General features: G+C 40.1%; 2 protein-coding genes across 6 annotated transcripts in view, besides 1 other annotated feature; one reads left to right on the top strand and one right to left on the bottom strand.

Annotated features, from left to right (window-relative positions):
• IL23R (interleukin 23 receptor) overlaps positions 1-13950 on the bottom strand; it is a 127267-nt gene extending 113317 nt beyond the window's left edge. The window contains exon 1 of the mRNA XM_011540790.4: positions 13426-13950. The gene's annotated coding sequence lies outside the window, so the exon portion shown is untranslated. The remainder of the gene's footprint in view (positions 1-13425) is intronic.
• The window catches only part of C1orf141 (chromosome 1 open reading frame 141), a 49482-nt gene continuing 41842 nt past the window's right edge, over positions 10941-18580 (top strand). For 4 of the 5 annotated variants that reach the window (NR_075077.2, XM_011541465.3, NM_001276351.2 and 1 more), the window contains exon 1: positions 17617-17657. The gene's annotated coding sequence lies outside the window, so the exon portion shown is untranslated. Of the gene's footprint in view, positions 10974-17616; positions 17658-18580 lie in introns of those variants that run through there. The other variant, XM_011541466.3, reaches the window with a different exon arrangement.
• Positions 14874-15384: an enhancer, noted in NCBI's record as "NANOG hESC enhancer chr1:67602886-67603396 (GRCh37/hg19 assembly coordinates)". NCBI's record gives its function as "activates a minimal SCP1, AML or CMV promoter by ChIP-STARR-seq in primed H9 embryonic stem cells {active_cell/tissue: H9 hESC(primed)}" and the evidence as "EXISTENCE:reporter gene assay evidence [ECO:0000049][PMID:30033119]".

The following is an 18580-nucleotide window of genomic DNA, read 5'->3' as shown; positions in this document are numbered from 1 at the left end:
ACCCATAGCCAATACCATACTGAATGAGTAAAAGCTGGAATCATTCCCTTGGAAACTGGCACAAGACAAGGATGCCCTCTCACCACTCCAATTCAACATAGTATTGGAAGTTCTGGCCAGGGAAATCAGGCAAGAGAAAGATATAAAAGTATTCAAATAGGAAGAGAGGAAGTCAAATTGTCTGTTTGCAGATGACATGTTTGTATATTTAGAAAACCCCATCGTCTCTGCCCAAAAACTCCTTAAGCTGATAATCAACTTCAGCAGTCTCAGGATACAAAATCAATCAAAATCACAAGCATTCCTACACACCAACAATAGACAAGCAAAGAGCCAAATCATAAATGAAGTCCCATTCACAAATGCTGCAAAGGTAATAAAATACCTAGGAATACAGCTTACAAGGGACATGAAGGACCTCTTCAAGGAGAACTGCAAACCACTGCTCAAGGAAATCAGAGAGAACACAAACAAATGGAAAAACATTCCATCCTCATGGATAGGAAGAATCAATATTGTGAAAATAACCATAGTGCCCAAAGTAATTTATAGATTCAAGCCTATTCCCATCCAACTACCATTTACATTCTTCGCAGAATTAGAAAAATCTACTTTAAATTTCATATGGAACCAAAAAAGAGCCCGTATAGCCAAGACAATCCTAAGCAAAAAGAAGAAAGCTGGAGGCATCACACTACCTGACTTCAAACTACACTACAAGGCTGCAGTAACCAAAACAGCATGCTACTGCTACAAAAACAGTAGACATATAGACATACAGACCAATGCAACAGAACAGAGACCTCAGAAACAACACCACATATCTACAACCATCTGATCTTCGACAAACGTGACAAAAATAAGCAATGGGGAAAGGATTCCCTATTTAATAAATGATGCTGGAAAAGCTGGCTAGCCATATACAGAAAATTGAAACTGGACCCTTTCCTTACACCTTATATGAAAATTAACTCAAGATGGATTAAAGACTTAAAATATAAAACCTGAAACCATAAAAACCCTAGAAGAAAACCTAGGCAATACCATTCAGGACATAGGCATGGGCAAAGACTTCATGATGAAAACACCCAAAGCAATTGCAACAAAAGCCAAAATTGACAAATGGGATCTAATTAAACTAAAGATCTTCTGCACAGCAAAAGAAACTAGCATCAGAGTGAACAGGCAACCTACAGAATGGGAGAAAATTTTTGCAATCTACCCATCTGACAAAGGTCTAATATCCAGAATCTACAAGGAACTTAAACAAATTTACAAGAAAAAACCAACCCCCTCAAAAAGTGGTCAAAGCATATGAACAGACATTTCTCAAAAGAAGACATTTATGCAGCCAACAAACATGAAAAAAAGCACATCACCACTGATCTGCAGAGAAATGCAAATCAAAACCACAATGAGTTACCATTACACACCAGTCAGAATGGTGATCATTAAAAAGTCAAGAAACAATAGATGCTGGTGAGGCTGCGGAGAAATAGGAATGCTTTCACACTGTTGGTGAGAATGTCAATTAGTTCAACCATCGCGGAAGACAGTGTGGCGATTCCTCAAGGATCTAGAGCCAGAAATACCATTTGACCCAGCATCTCATTACTAGGTAGATACTCAAAAGAATATAAATAATTCTACTACAAAGATACGTGCACATACATATGTTTATTGCAGCACTATTTATAACAGCAAAACATGGAACCAACCCAAATACCCATCAATGATAGACTGGATAAAGAAAATGTGGTACATATACACCATGGAATACTTTGTGGCTTTAAATTCCATCTATATGGAGATGACACTCAAATTTCTATATCCAGCTTGATCTCTTCTCTGAATTCCAGGTTCATATGACCCAACTGATTCAACATCTCTATCTGGATAACAGGCATTTCAAACCTTTTTTTTTTTTTTTTTTTACTTTAAGTTCCAGGATACATGTGCAGAACGTGCAGCCATAAAAGAAAATAAGATCATGTCCTTTGCAGGGACATGGATGGAGCTGGAAGCCATCATTTTCAGCTAACTAACACAAGAACAGAAAACCAAACATCACATGTTCTCACTCATAAGTGGGAGTTGAGCGATGAGAACACATGGACACAGGGAGGGGAACAACACACACCGGGACCTGTCAGAAGGTGGGGAGCAAGGGGAGGGAGAGCATTAGGACAAATACCTAATGCATGCAGGGCTTAAAATCTAGATGACGGGTTGATAGTTGCAGCAAACCACCATGGCAAATGTATACCTATGTAATGAACCTGCACATCCTGCACATTTATCCTGGAACTTAAAGTAAAAAAAAAAAAAAAAAAAAAAAGTTCGAAATGCCTGTTATCTAGATAAGATGTTGAATTGGTTGGGTCATATGAACCTGGAATTCAGAGGAGAGACCAAGCTGGATATATAAATTTGAGTATCACCTGCATATAGATGGAATTTAAAGCCACAAGCATGAATGGGATTACCAAGAAATTAGATATAGACTATAGATAGAAAAGGAAAGAAGTTCTAGGATTGAGCCCAGAAAATTCCTATGTAAAGATATCAGGAAAAATAAACCTAGGCATTTCTTTTTCTTTTCAGCTGAGCAACTCAGAGCCAAAGCAATTTTTCGACTAACTCTCCTTAAGAGGGTTACCAGAAAATTTTTGTATTTATGATTGGAAAAGTAGTTAACTGTATATACCATGAAACTATGGAATCTTGAGACTAAAATAGACCTTAACCTAAAGGATAATAAATTCAACTTGTTGGTTTTTCAACAGCAAATACTCTGAACTTTAAAAAACTAGCTTACTGGGTCATTCATCCAATTTCAACTTACGGATTTAATTTTAGTCAAATTATGGGAAATGATTGAAAAATGAACCTCCAGTATAAAGTAGGTAGCTTAGAGTACATATGGACATGTTCAGACAAAGGAGGAGGATCTAGTTCTCACTCAGGGATTTGGGCAGGGGGACCACTTTAATTCCACAAGTATTTATTGAGTGTCTATAACATGTAAGACACTTGATAGAGTACTTCGGGAAATACAAACGTGAATGAGACCCTGTCCTGTTCTTCAGAAAGATTACAACAGAAAAAAATGGGGAATAAGAGAAGCAAAATGCGATTAAGAGCCAAGGAGAAGCGGAGACAGGTCACGGAGGTTCAAGCTGAAGTGTGGAATAACTGCAGCTAGGAACTCTAAAAAGCCCCTAGGTGTCACTCTCCGCCTCCTGACTTCTTTCTCACTGCAAATCTGCTTTCCCCACGGGGTGGCCAACGAGGCTAACAACTCCCAGGTCTCACACTTCAGACTTTCTGCCACAAGAAAGAGTGCTCAATGCTCCCCCTCCAAGTACAAAATGCTGAGAAGAGCTCCCAGGGGCCCATTCAGCCTCTGGACTAACTGATGACAGGAAAGAGGATCTGATAGTGTAAGAAGAACCTGGTAAATTGTGTGGGAACCCTATGATTGGGAGTGAGTGGGCTGGGGTGGGAGGTATATCAGTTAGGTTATTATCACTACAATGTTCTATAACAAAGTGCCCCAACTAGTGGTTTAACACCACTATCATTCATTTTCACGGATCTGACGGTTGGCTAGGGCAGCCCTGCCAGGCAGTGATGACTAGAGTGGCTGTACTCCATTCTAGTGGAATAGTGGGTCTTAGGAACCCAGATCTCACTCCTCCTGGGCCCCTAAGCTAGACAGGGAACACAAGAGCCTCTGAAGTTTAGGTTCAGAGCCGTTCTAACACTGCTGCTACTGCCTGACCAAGCCATTGGTCAAAGAAAGTCACATGACTGGACACTAAGTCAAGGGGAAAGAAATACCTTCTGCCCACAGTGAAGCTATTGTTTAAAGTGGGGGACAGGGAAGCAGGAAGGGTAGCGCCAATCTTTTAATCTACCACAAAAGGTTAATGTGAGAAATAATTCTCAGAAGATAGTGAGAGACAGGACTAGCTGGATTCCCTAGGCCGACTAAGAATTCCTAAGCCTAGCTGTGGAAGGTGACCACACCCACCTTCAAACACGAGGCTTGTAACTCAGCTCACACCTGACCCATCAGGTAGTAAAGAGGGCTCACTAAAATACCAATTAGGCTAAAAGCAGGAGGTAAAGAAATAGTCAAATCATCTATCGCCTGAGCGCATAGCGGGAGGGACAATGATTGGGATATAAACCCAGGAATTCGAGCGGGCAGGGGAAACCCCCTTTGGGTCCCCTCCCCTTCTATGGGAGCTCTGTTTTCACTCTATTAAATCTTGCAACTGCACACTCTTCTGGTCCACGTTTGTTCTGGCTGGAGCTGAGCTTTCGCTCGCCGTCCACTACTGCTGATTGCCGTTGTCGCAGACCCACCACTGACTTCCACCCCTCTGGATCCGGCAGGGTGTACACTGCGTTTCTGACCCAGCGAGGCGCCCATCGCCGCTGCGGATCGGGCTAGAGGCTCGCCATTGTTCCTTCACGGCTAAGTGCCCAGGTTCATCCCAATCGAGCTGAACACTAGTGGCTGGGTTCCACGGTTCTCTTCCGTGACCCACGGCTTCTAATAGAGCTATAACACTCACCACATGGCTCAAGGTTCCATTCCTTAGAATCCATGAGGCCAAGAACCCCAGGTCAGAGAACAAAAGGCTTGCCACCATCTTGGAAGCGGCTTACCCCATCTTGGGAGCTCTAAGAACAAAGACCCGCCAGTAACAAAGGGATGTCGGGTAAACAAAGTAATAGGTATCCAATGTAGTATTATTACATTGGATACAAACACAGTAAAATGAAGTAGCTAGTAGATTTTATCAGTTCCAAAATGCTAGAGAGAGCAGTACGAGAGAACTAGTTAGCCCCTACAATCTTTTTATTTTTTTTTTGACAGAGTCTGCTCTGTCGCCCAGGCTGGAGTGCAGTGGCATGCATGATCTCGGCTCACTGCAACCTCTGCTTCCCAAGTTTAAGCTATTATCCTGCCTCAGCCTCCTGAGTAGCTGGGATTACAGGTGCCTGCCAACACGCCTGGCTAATTTTTGTAGTTTTTGATAGAGACAGGCTTTCACCATGTTGGCCAGGCTGGTCTCGAACTCCCGACCTCAGGTGATACACCTGCCTCGGCCTCCCAAAGTGCTGGGATTACAGGTGTGAGCCACCACATCCAGCCAGAAAAAGTATTTCTATCCTTCTATTGTGCTTATATTTGCAATAGTCCAAAGTTTTTTTAATTGTAACTGACAGAAATTCAACTCAAACTCACTATGTGAAAAAATGGGAATTAATGGAAGAAGAATGGGGCCTGTTATGGAACTGACAGAATTTCTGTGGGGAGCAGGTAACTTCAGGTATGTCAGGGAGAGAAACTTCAGACTTGACAGAACCAGCACTCACTCTTGCTTGCAACATCCACCTCTCATCTGCTTAAGTCTTTTGGGCCTCATTGTCTCCTCTAGGTGTTTGCCCCATGGAAGCCCAGGATTACAACCTTCTCACTCAAGAAAGAGTCCCTTCCTAGAAAAAAAAAATCTCAGAGAAGGACTCTGAATGTTCTGTCTTGGGGCCTGTACTCACCCGTTAGAACAATTCCTTTCCCTAGAGAACTGAAGTTCTATGATTGACCAGAACAAGATCATGTGCCCATCCCTATGGACCGGGGTGGAGTGATGTTCTATAACCAGCAGTCCAACCACAACTACTTGGAAAGGGGGAAGAGCAATTTCTCCAAGAAGAAGGGTATAGCTGTTAGCAGATAATCGTGAAGATAGGGGAGGTATCCTGCACTGATAAATGTCTCTAGTCTTAGATTTACTTGTCTGGACATGTTGAACATCTTGGTTTCGGTCTTCTCTGGGCATGTCTAAAGATCTGGTAGGGTTCATATTCTTGGATCTGATTACATGAAATACCTTGGAGTTTTCTTGCAAAGACTTGAATCCAAGGGAAGAGAATGCCATGGCACAGAAGCATGCCTAAAAGATAATGGGCCAGGATAAAAGGAGTAAGGATTATGGGTGTAGCACTATTTCTGTCTGTCTGTCTATCACTTTTATATTATTTATTGGACCAGTCCCCATCAATTCAGGCCTGAGTCCTAGAGTGAAGGGGGTTCAATAAAAATATGGGTAAATATTAAAGGCTGTTTCACAGTGATCTCTGTGAGACTCTAAAGGGCAACAGATCAGCAGTATTCATGACAACAGTTCTGTGGTAACCTGAGACCACACCCGTGTAGAGATCTGCACCCTCAACATCAGGTACCAGCGGCATTAGCATAGACATCGACAGGCACTGTGGCAGTGGCAAAGACTTTACAAGTCCACAAAATTATCACTTTTGATATTGCATGCACATAAGACATGATCACATGAACCCACAGTAGGAGAGGAATTGACTGGGCTCAGCTGAGAAGCTCTTTTGGCCTACATGATGTTGACTGAGGCTGCAGTCATCTGTTACTCAAATGGTCTGGAATATTAAAGATGGCTCATTCAAAGGCCTGGGAGTTCATGCTGACTGGCACCTGGGAAATCAGCTGGGGCTGTTGACCCTCAGTTTTTCTCCACATGGCTTCTCTGTGCCTTGGGCTACTCACAGCATATTGGTTGGTTTCCAAAAACAAATATCCCAAAAGGAGAGAAGTTGGAAGCTGTAGACACCTGAAGCCCAACCTTAGAAACTACAAAATATCACTTCTGCCACATTCTATTGATTGAAACCAACCACAGAGCTACCCCAGATTCAATGTGGGAATGGTTTCTACAAGAATATGTGATACTGGGAGGCATGGTTCATTAGGGGCCATTTTGTAAACAAGCCACCACAGCCAGAGAATGCAGTTTTGTGACTATTTTAATGATCCTGTTTTCCCCGTAGACTATCCAGGAAACATATTATTATTAAAATGTTATTCACTCAGTTATATATTCATTAATTCGGTCAACAAATATTTAGTTATCTAATGTATGCCAAACACCGCACAATAGTGAAGATGTTAAAGTGAATATGACATGGTCACTGAAATGAACATAGACATGGGAACAAACAGCAACAATGCAATGGTATGAGGACCAGAAAAGAGGTGGGAAGAGGGCACAGGAGCACAGAAAACAGGCTTCTTTTGATAATTAAATTAGCTAATTTACACAAAATACTTAGTGTTAAGTTCATACTTAGTGTTAAGTATTCATCCTACCATATTAGGGTATGGTAGACATTCAATATTTTATGTACGTATTTGAGACAGGGTTTTGCTCTTGTTGCCCAGGCTGGAGGGCAGTGGCACAATTTGGGCTCACTGCAGCCTCCGTCTCCTGGGTTCAAGTGATCCTCCTGCCTCAGCCTCCTGAGTAGCTGGAATTACAGGTGCCCGCCACCAAGCCTGGCTAATTTTTTGTATTTTAAGTAGAAATGGGGTTTCAGCATGTTGGCCAGGCTGTTCTTGAACTCCCTGACCTCAGGTGATCCACCTGCCTTGGCCTCCCAAAGTGTTGGGATTATAGGTGTGAGCCACCAGCCGCCTATTATTCATATTTAAACAATTCAGTATTTCATTCTCAGCGACTAGGTGAAGAGTGAAAAAGGGGGCTGAGATGGAGCAAGTTTGGGAAGGAATATAAATTAACATGTAGACATGTTGAATTTGCAGTGCCTGTGGGACCCCCAGTGGAGATGTTTGGTAGCAATCACAAAATGAAACTGGAGTTTCAGAGATAGATCAGAGTGAGAAATATTAATCCAGGAATTATCAGTAAGTAGGTGATAACTTAAATTTTGGATATGGGTGAGATTATGTAGGGAAAGAGAATAGGTTGTGGGAAGATAGAAATCTGAAGGGAGAACCCTGGAGAATACCAGCATTTAAGAAGCTAGAAGAAAAAAAGAGCCCACATAGTTACAACCAAATCAGTCAGGAGAAATCAAAGGAATTATAGGAGGACTTTGACAGAGTATCAATCGTTCTAGAATTAATGAAAATTTATCAGTATTTAATTTCACATTTAGTTCAAAGATAATAATGGTATTTGACATTAACTTTCAATTAAATTTTGTTCATGGGGTTTTAAAATAAGTCATTTTAAGTAGCTTAAGAAGACATGTGACTATAATACAAGACGTGAATACAGAAGAATGATTATAGTTATCAGCATTAATAATCCTTTTTGTCAACATTTGAATTAGGAAAACAACTCTTCTCTTACAAAATTTGTTTTTTAAAAAGGATCTTCCTGTTTCTAGAAGGAATGCCAATATAAAAGAGACAAATCAGACCCCAGTAGCAGTGAAAAGTAAAGAGATATACAAAGTAAGAAAGTGGTTTAGGCATTAATTCAAGAGCTTCGCTGCTCTGTAGTAATGATTTCGTGAATCTAGAATAGGTGTCAAGATGGGCAGGATTTGAAGGAGAAGCCAAGCGTTGAAAGAAAGAATCATTCTGAAAACCCACAATATAGTAACAGTAGCTTCACCATCAACTGGAAAAGGGCACATTTGGGGAAAGTTGTTTTGCAGCTATTATCAATATTTGTCATCATTTCAAGTCATTATTATTTTTTATTTTATTTATTTGTTTTTTAGTTTCAAGCACCTAAACTTTGGTATGGGCCATCAAGTGGTAGAAGGGTCTATAAAAGTAAGAGAACATAGTTTTCTCTGCATTTTGCTCTTTTTGAAACTACTTATGAAATTGCATTTTATTCTATTCAAGCTGCACACACATACACACACAAACACACATTTACTTATTATTGATCCCTGTGGCATATTCTGCTGATGTCCTGCCTAGATTCCCTCAGTCCATTCTCAAGGTCACCTACAGCTTCATAGAAAAATTTTTTACATGCAAAGGCATCTTACTTCAAGCACCTGTGTCTCTCTGCCTAAGAATGGTTTCTGGTCTCAGGAGTGTGCTCAGTCTACTTGTAGGGAAGGCTGGAAGTGCCAGAGACATAATGTCCCAGAAACAACCATCAATTCATGATAGATGGGATTTGCTGAATAAAAGCACTCCAGCCTCCTCACCCATTGAAGGGGCAATTCTGCACTGTGTTCTACATCAGTTCCATCAACTCTTAGATGCTACTCTGAGAAATTGAGCCCCAGTTTCCCACAGCAGTGACCCACTAATTAATGCATTGACATTTCATCTTTCCTTGCTTCACTTCACCACACTTTCTGGGATCACCTCCCAGATAAACTCCTTATACTCAAAATCCTTGTTTTTGCTTGGTCTGCTTTTGAGAGAGCCAAAAATAAGACAATAGTACCCTTTGTCATGATATTTATATATTCGTTATCAATTCACCTTTAATTTTACTTTCAAAGCAAAAATCCTCCCCAGCACTATGTTAAAAGCCATGCTACTCATTTTCGAACAGTCTAAAGATTTTTTTCTTAGCCACTTGTAAAATGTGTCTTGAGTCACAGACAGGATATTTACCCTAAGTTTTCTTTGGGGAGCACATGCATAGCCTTTGATTTTGTTATGCTGTGAGAGGAAGTGGAAAGATCTTGGGCTTCGAAATGAAAAAAAAATTAATCTCTCACTATCTAAGAAAGTTGTCAAGTTATTTAATCTCTCTGAGAATCAGTGGTCTCATTTATGAAATAGGCATAGTTATACCTACCTCTTAAACCTATAGGGAAGATTAAGTAAGGTTATACTCTGAACACAAGGTCCAATTAAAGTGGTTTATTCTGTAATGAAATTTTGTAGACCAGGCCGGACACAGTGGCTCATGCCTATAATCCTAGCGCTTTGGGAGGCCAAGGTGGGTGGATCACCTGAGGTCAGGAGTTCGAGACCAGCCTGGCCAACATGGCGAAACCCCATCTCTATTAAAAATACAAAAAAATTGGCCGGGCTTGGTGGCACACACCTGTGGTCCCAGCTACTTGTAAGGCTGAGACAGGAGAATCGCTTGAACCCAGGAGGTGAAGGTTGCAGTGAGCCGAGATCATACCATTGCACTCCAGCCTGGGCAACAAGAGTGAAACTCTGCCTCAAAAAATAAAAAATAAATAAATTTAAAAATATATTTCTGTGTTGCTGTATTTATAAAATACCTGTGAGAGCAGGCCAATGGGAGAGGCTTCAGCTCTGCATAACACAAAAGTGTTTCTGCCATTCCTTTAGGTAAAAGTGCCACAAAACTGGAATAAAGAGTAGAGAAGCATTTAAAATGGGATGGCTACAGAATTTTCTTTTATCCACTCTGAGTTTTTCCATTTTTCATTGGTTTATCTTTTACTTTTAAACTCACCAAATTATTGTTTTAGTCTTTAGCTTTATATAATTTATAAAAATATTCTTTTTAATTTAATTTTTTATCTTTTACTTTTTTGAGAAAGGATCTCACTTGGAACAGGAATTAAAAGAAATTTTAAAATGTGTAAGTGAAAACTCAGTTGTATGTAAGAAAAACCAATTCCCCCTGAGGAAGAGAAAGAGCTGAAGTCCTTTAAAAATTGACTGCCTGTTTTTCTGTGGCTAGTGAGCCTTATCTCTCCCTTTCCCAGCCATCGTGAAGACTGTTTCTCTAGCTGTGCAGCTGCAAGGTCACTAAACAGATAATCTCAAGTCATAAAACATGTTGTTCCTTAAAAAGTAAGAAATAATGTAATGCATGTCTTAATTGAATAACTGTCTTTGTTTCTCCCTTCTGTAATACGCTTCCCCCTGCACAAATCTCCCCCTGCCCCACGAAATGCTTAAAAGGTAGCTTAACTCTGTTTGGGTCTCAGCCCTTTGGATGTTAATCGACTGGGTCCGTGCACCTAAATAATTAAATAATTCCTCCTCAATCCCACGGTCTCTCTGATTCCTTAATTATCCCACTGCACACTCTGTCACCCAGGCTGGTGTGCAGTGGCGTGATCTCAGCTCACTGCAGCCTCAACCTCCAGGGCTCAAGGGATCCTTCTACCTCAGCCTCCTGAATAGCTGGACTGCAGATATGCATCACTACACCCAGGTAATTTTTTTTAATTTTAGTAGAGATGGGGTCTTGCTGTGTTGCCTACGCTGGTCTTGATCTCCTGGCCTCAAATGATCCTCCCACCTCAGCTTACCAAAGTGCTGGGATTATAGACATGAGTCCCTGGACCGGACTTGTAAAAACTTTTTTGAGTGCCCCGTGGAAAGAAATTTCAAACTTTTTTTTTTTTAAGAGGCTTTTGACTTTTCCAGTCTCACAAGAAGAAAAAAGTCTTTTGGCCATGTTGAAGTGTTTTAATAACTTGTTGGCTGCAAAAATAATACATTAATAGTTTCTACTATGAATTAGTCTGTGCATTTAGAAAATACAAAAGTATACAAAGTAGAAAAATATTTCCAAGATATACTTTACCACCCTAAGATAACTATCTTTTGAGGATGTTTTATTACAGATCTTTTTCTTTGAACAGAGACTTATACTTTGTCTTAAAAGAATCATTCTGTGTATAAAGCTTTCTAATCTTATAATTTCTTCAATTAACACAATATCATACACATTTTCCTATGTTATTACGTATTTCTTCATACCTCTTGTAACAGCTGCATCATATTTATCATCCTATGGCTAGACAAAAATTTTGACAAGAAAATCTAAAAATAGTAATTCAGATCATAGGCTTTGGAAAAAAATATAACTGGGTTTAAATTCTGAATCTGCCATTTACTAGATTTGTGATCTTGATCAGAATATTTAATATCTCTAAATTCATTTTTTAATCTATAAAATGAAGAATAAATGAGACAATGTATGTGAAAATGCAATTGTTGACACATAATAAATCTAATAAGTGAGAATTCAATAAATAGATGATAGATGTTATTATCAACTTTTAAATTTTTTACCATTATAAAAAATATTAAATAAAAATCATCGTTACAAGTTTTGTTCATTTCTATGATTAATTTCTAAATATTAATTTTTGGAAGTGAAACTGCTGAGTCAAAGATTAATACATTTTTTAAGGTTTTTACATAAACTGTAAATTCCCATCCTAACAATGTACAGTTCAACCAGTAGAGCATAGATGTGCATCTTTCTCTGTTCCTTTCCCCAGCTTGCCAAGATGATAAGAAAAAGATTATATTTTATTGGCTTAATGTACATGACTTCGACTATGTCATTGAACATCAAATATATAATTAATGATCATTTGTAGGTATTCTTTTATAAAGTGACTATATTCAGCATACATTCTTTTTCATTATGGTGTTTGTCCTTAGTGATTTGCAAAATTTTAAGATACTCTTTGTTTATACACATTTCCAAGTTTAACCTATCTTACATTTTTAATGACTTTTTTTGACATACAGAAATTTTAAATATTTATGAAATCAGATCTAACAATTTTTTACTTTAAATATTTTGCTTTTGCATGCATAGTAAGTGAAGCCTTGCAAGATGCTATCTTAGTCCATTTTCTGTTGCTTGTAACAGAATATCTGAAAATGGGGAATTTATAAAGAAAAGGAATTATTTCTCACAGTTATGGAGACTGAGAAGTGCAAGGTTGAGGGGCCACATCTGGTGAGGGACTTCTTGCTGCTGGGAGGTCTCTGCAGAGTCCCACGGTGGCACAGGGCATCACATGGTGAGGGGGTTATGCTTGCTCGCTTAGGTTTCTCTTCCTTTTCTTATAAAACCACCAATCCCACTCCCATGATAATCCATTAATCTGTTAACCCATAATTCATTAATCCATTCATAAGGGCTCTGCCCTTATGACCCAAGAACCTTTTAAAGGCCCCACCAAGCTGGGTGCAGTGGGTCTTTCCTGTAGGACAGCTACTGGAGAGGCTGAGGTAGAGGATGCCTTGGGTCCAGGAGTTTGAAACTAGCCTAGGCAACATAGCAAGACTTTATCTTTATTTTAAAAAATATAAATTAAGGCCTCACCTCTCAATACTGCCACACTGGAGATTAAAGTTCAACATGACTTTCGGAGGGGACAAATATTCAAACTGTAGCAGATGCTATACAAATGAATATGTTTACTGTTGTGATCTTTAAAAACATAAGTAAATATTAAGTTGTGGTCTTTAATAGAAGAAAAAGACTTATGGGGAAAAAGCCTAGGACTGAAGAAGTCAAATTTTTGTGAATATGAGTTTTCTTAGAACTTATAATCAAGTTCAGGTAGCAGTTTTTGAGCTATGTTGTGTGGACTGTGTGGTGACAGGGAGAGTGCTGGAGGCATAGAAACATAATGAACGTTTCATGTACCTGCTTTTTGCTAGGCACTGTGCTTGGCCTAGCAAAAGTAAATGACTGGTAAATCATTTACTTCTCAGACCAGCCCTCTGAGATAGTTAATCTATCCATTTTATGGTTTCCTTTCATTTGACAAATATTTGTTGAGCATATTATCAGTCTCTAGGCTTACTTCTATAGAAAAATAAATCAGACTGGTTTATACACAAAGAGAACTTACTGGATCATGTTAGCTGAAGAGGTCTAGAGTAGCTCTAAGTTCAGTGATCGCTTGACCCTGGGCTCAAATGATACTGCCCAGGTCCAGCTCTCAGTTTTCTTCCCCTGGATTGACTCCACTCTTAGGATCTTCATAGTGGCTCCCATAGCATAAGGCTCAAATTGTCATAACAGGCAGACTAGAAGAGGAAGTCTTCTTCCCTGAAGGCTCAAAGTCCCGGAATAAAATTGTCTGGGCCCTGACTGGCCTCCCATTAGTCACCTGCTTCTCCCTGAGCCAGTCACTGTGGTCAGGGTGTTGTGATCTCATTGGCCTAACATAGATAACTTTCTCCATCCTTAGAACCAGGGGGCTGCAGAAGTTCTGAAGTCCCTGTGCTGAGGGAACAGCATGAAAAGACACAGATATAAAAAGCCCAAAACTTTGTGAAAATTCCCATTAAGTTACAAGGTAGTCACTTTCTGTACCATGGGTTTGCTGAGATAAAGCTAGAAAGACAATCAGAACTCAGTTCAACATAGAATGGGCTCAGATGGTAGAAGTTCTATATTCTATGCTGCATGGTTTTGACTGAATTTGGAAGGGAATGTCAAGCCTAGGAAGGAAACAAAGGGAGAAAAAAAACACACACACAAACAAGAAAGAATCCCAGGGTACAATGATATTTACAGCAGGCAGAGGAAGAAAAGTAGGAGAGAGTTGTGTAATTGAAGCCAAGGGAAGGGAATGTTTCAAAGAGCCAGAAGTAAAACGTGTCCAATTCAGAAGAATTGTCAAGTAACATAGGACCTGAAAGACGTCCATTGGATTCACAAATAAAAGAGACAGAAGGTCATTAAGTGACCAACTAGCACATTATCTAGAATAAGAGAAGTAATGGGCAGAAGGGATAACAGGTAGTGATCAGAGAGGACCTGTTAGAGCTTAATATTTCAGAGTTAGGGGATAATGAAGTAAAGATAGCTTTAATCTGGAAAGATAATGAGTTTTGAGGCAAAACTATTGGCTTAATGGATTTATTATGGAAAGGAACATTGGGAAAGTCCCCAAATCTGTAAAAGTGAGAAATGCCTGGGAATTTGTTAGTAAATATGTATGGGGAGATAGTTGTCATTAACCTCAGAAGAGGCAGCTTTTCCTAAGGAAGAAGAAACTTAAAGATGTGAAAGGAACATTAGGAATGGTGAAGAATACTGACACTTCTCCCAGGCTTCATGGTTTGTGTAGGGCAAGGGAAAAAAAATGCTCTTTTCTCAAGAGAGGACAGAAGGCAGGGGTGGAGAATCACAGGCTTTTCACCATTTGGGGATGATTAAGTACAAATTTTGATACTTTCTAAACCTAGTAGGTATATAGTAAAGAATTTATAGGAAAGACTCTCTTGCCCAAAGAAAAGAAAGTCCGGCCTTTGCCCTTGCCTTCTGAGATATAATCTCTGGGCCCTAGGAATGTTATGCCTGATAGAAAGAGCTTTATTTGCCTGGAGACCTTGAGTCATATGAGATAGTCTAACAATGTGATTTAGGATGGGGAGGTGGCCACACCTGCATAGTCTTAGAGTAGGGACTGGCCACTCCAGAAAGATCAACAATGTGACTTAAGGCAAGGGCTTTGGGTCACGTGGTATCCATCAACTTGGAGATAGAGATTAACCATGTGGTTAATCAACCGATTATGCCTGTGTGATGAAGCCCCACTACAAACTCTGAACACAATGATTGGGTGAGCTTCCCCGGGTGGCAGATCTCCATGTGTGCATTGTCATTCAACAATGCTAGGGAGTAACCTGTCCTGACTCCACAGGAAGAGGACAATAAAAGCTCCACATTTGTTATTTCGGGACTGACTCTGCCCTGTGAACTTCTTTCCTTGGCTAGTTGTAATCTGTAACCTTTCCCTGTAATAAACTATAACCCTAAATACAATAGCTTTCAGTAAGGTCTGTGAGTCTTTCTAGCAAATTATCGAACCTGAGGGTTCTATTCAGGGTTTTGACGGCCCCCTGAACTTGGTGTCAGAAGTAAGGGCAGTTTTGGGGAATGTGCTTTCTAACTTTGTAGTTGGCCTACTTCAAAGGAAGCAGGAAAAAGTCTGCAGATTTTATTTTCTTTGTTTTCTTATAGTATACAGTTTATATTTTAAGAAATCTGTATACTTTTAAAATAAAACATTCATTAGGCTCCTTTACCCAGTATTTATCTATAATAGGTTCATGAACTCATTCAGTAAATACTGAATTTAACTGAGAGCAATTAAAGTAGTTAGGAAAAAATCCACTTGAATTCTTTTTTGTGTACATTTACCAAACATTTGTTATTAAAGAGAAAATACTTTGTACTTTGTGTTATATTAATAATTGTATTACTAATTATAAGATGCTGGGCAAATCACATAGTTTCTTTGAATTTCAGTCAGGTCTTTTCTAAAATCAAAGATAATACCCTTTCCATAGATACGAATTAAGGTTTAAGAATGAAAAGTAAAGGATGAAATTAGAACTATTTTAAAGTTGTAGCCTAGTACCTGACATGCAGAACGTGTTCCATAAATATTAACTGAGATAATGATAATATTCTAAGAATTTCATAAGATTCATGCTTTACAAATTTTATTGACTGAAGATTAATGAGTAGCTAACGTTTCTGAACTGAATTCTTAAGAAGCTAATTTTCACCTCTGTACAAATTTTTGAGCTGAAGGTATTACAACAATCTTAGACAAATCACCACTATCAACTAGATTCCAGTTATCAATTCCATACAAACCATTGTTCCTGAATGTATATGGCTTAAAAAATATAATAGAATCAAGCTACCTTGGCCAGTCGCAGTGGCTACTCACATCTGTAATCCCAGCACTTTGGGAGAACAAGGCAAGAGGATCACTTGAGACCAGAAGTTCAAGACTAGCCTGGGCAACATAGTGAGACCCCTGTCCTTACAAAAAAATAAAAATAAAAAAATTAGCCTGGCATAGTGGCATGCACCTGTAGTCCTAGCTACTAGGGAGGCTGAGGTGGGAGAACCACTTGAGCACAGGCGATTGAGGCTGCAGTGGGCTATGATCACACCACTGTGCTCCAGTCTGGGCAACAGAAAAGAATCAAACTACCTTCTACTTTTAATGATTGTATTTTTGTTTTTTAAATATTTGAAATAAATTGATTCCAGTGTTTTCATGCATTGACTATTAATATCAATTTCTAGCCAAATTTGGATTGCTACATAACTATACTTTTTTTTTTTTTTTTTTTTTGCAGTTTTGCCATTGCCACTAGCACAGACTTGTGATGATTAATTCTGGTGCTTTTTTTCCTTTTCTTCTCACAGATGTTGAAGTGCTGTTTTTTAAAGCTTTTCCCCCTATTTTGATGCATCAGATAAGGTACATTCTTGGAATGATGAACAACCCCTGACTTAAAATGTAACCAATATTGTGAAATTCCCCATCATTTTAAATTAAATACAAGCTGTTTTCAAGTCAGTCATTTTTAGATTATGGCTCTAAAAATAAATGATTCCCATGGCCTTAGTGCATTTTCTGCTCACACAAGTGAGCAATAAGGACAAATGGTTCCTTAGGATACAGTAAATACAGCAGAATGTATGTCAGTGTATCTCCATTATGTCTCATAAAAATGCTAAGTGGTATGTGTGTGTGCAGCCAAGTCTGCTACACAACTTGCGTAATACAGTGGTGATTTTACTAACCACACGGGAGGTTTCTTGGCCTTGGAAATAAGAATGGTTTTTTGTTGTTGCTGTTTTTAATATCATAAGCCATGAAAGCAATCTTCCATCAAATATTCAAATATAAACTGTTGACTTCCATTCAGACCTGCAAGCTGTATGGTGGACTTTGTAAGCTTCTTTTTGAAATTCGATGTTTCCAGGAAAGCACAAAAGGAGAAAGGAGGTACAATAAGGGGAAACAAAGTCACTGTTCCCCAGTTCTTTTTACTTGATCTTCTTCTTTTACTTGACTCTCCTTCCACTCCTTCAGCATAATCGGTTTTAATATCCGTAAGCATCTGGGGAGTCACCTGGGCTTTTAGTGACAAAAGTCTGTGGGCGAAGCCCCTCTGAGAAGAGAACTCTGCTCTCTAGGCCTTTCAGAGGTAGGCAGAGCTCGGCAACCGGTTTCTACGGACCGAGGACGCGTTGCTAAGGGACTGAAGGGTGGGGGCGGGGCGAGTAACCCGCGGAGCCAGAAGAGGGAGGAAAGGAGATGAGGTTTGTTTCAGGGTGCGGAAGGGTTGGAAGAGTTGAAAATCAAAATTTGCATGAGGGTGGGAGGCGAAATAGGAAAAACGTCGTTTTACATAAACGGCCTTTCTGTCCCCGGAGTCGGTGGGACGTTCTCCAGCGGGGCCTGGACCGGGAGAGTGTGGTTGAGGTCAGGCAAGTGTGGGACCGCGGCGAGAGGCGAGCCCGGGGGGCTCTTCCAGGTTCGCGGAAGAACCCTTTGCATCTTCTAAACTAAATATTAATGAGCTTCCTCAATGTTGCCCTTAATTTTGCTTTCCCATGAAACGACCATAGGCATAGAGCGTTTGAGTCGGGCTTCCTATGTTTCCAGCGAGATGGAGGCACCTGGGGGAAGGTGACTCGGGGCCGGGCAAGAGATGCGAGAGGCTCTGGGGGCCGCTTAATTGATACATTTCCAAATTGACGACTCCCAACATCCTGGAATGGATGGTGGAAGCTGATCGCCCCTGCGGTAATTGTGCTGCGATTTCGAGCTGGCTAATCAATTCTTGCAATCATTATCTGATTAGTCGCCCACAATAATACTCCACAATCCACGTACATCATAGTTTTAAAATTCCTTAGTAGTTTTTCTTAGAAACTTCCCTTCCAGGCCGGCGCGTTGGCTTACGCCTGTAATCCCAGCACTTTGGGAGGCCAAGGCGGGCGGATCACTTGAGGTCAGGAGTTAGAGACCAGCCTGGCCACAGTGGCGAAACCCCGTCTCTACTAAAAATACAAAAATTAGCCGGGCATGGTGGTGGGCGCCTGTAGTCCCACCTACTGGGGAGGCTGAGGCAGGAGAATCGCTTGAACCTGGGAGGCGGAGGTTGTAGTGAGCTGAGATCGCAGCCACTGCACTCCAGCCTGGGTGACAGAATCAGTGAGACCGTCTCAAAAATAAAAAT

Source organism: Homo sapiens, chromosome 1 (assembly GCF_000001405.40).
Source record: "Homo sapiens chromosome 1, GRCh38.p14 Primary Assembly".
NCBI classification, from domain to species: domain Eukaryota; kingdom Metazoa; phylum Chordata; class Mammalia; order Primates; family Hominidae; genus Homo; species Homo sapiens.
This window is presented reverse-complemented; position numbering and strand designations above follow the sequence as displayed.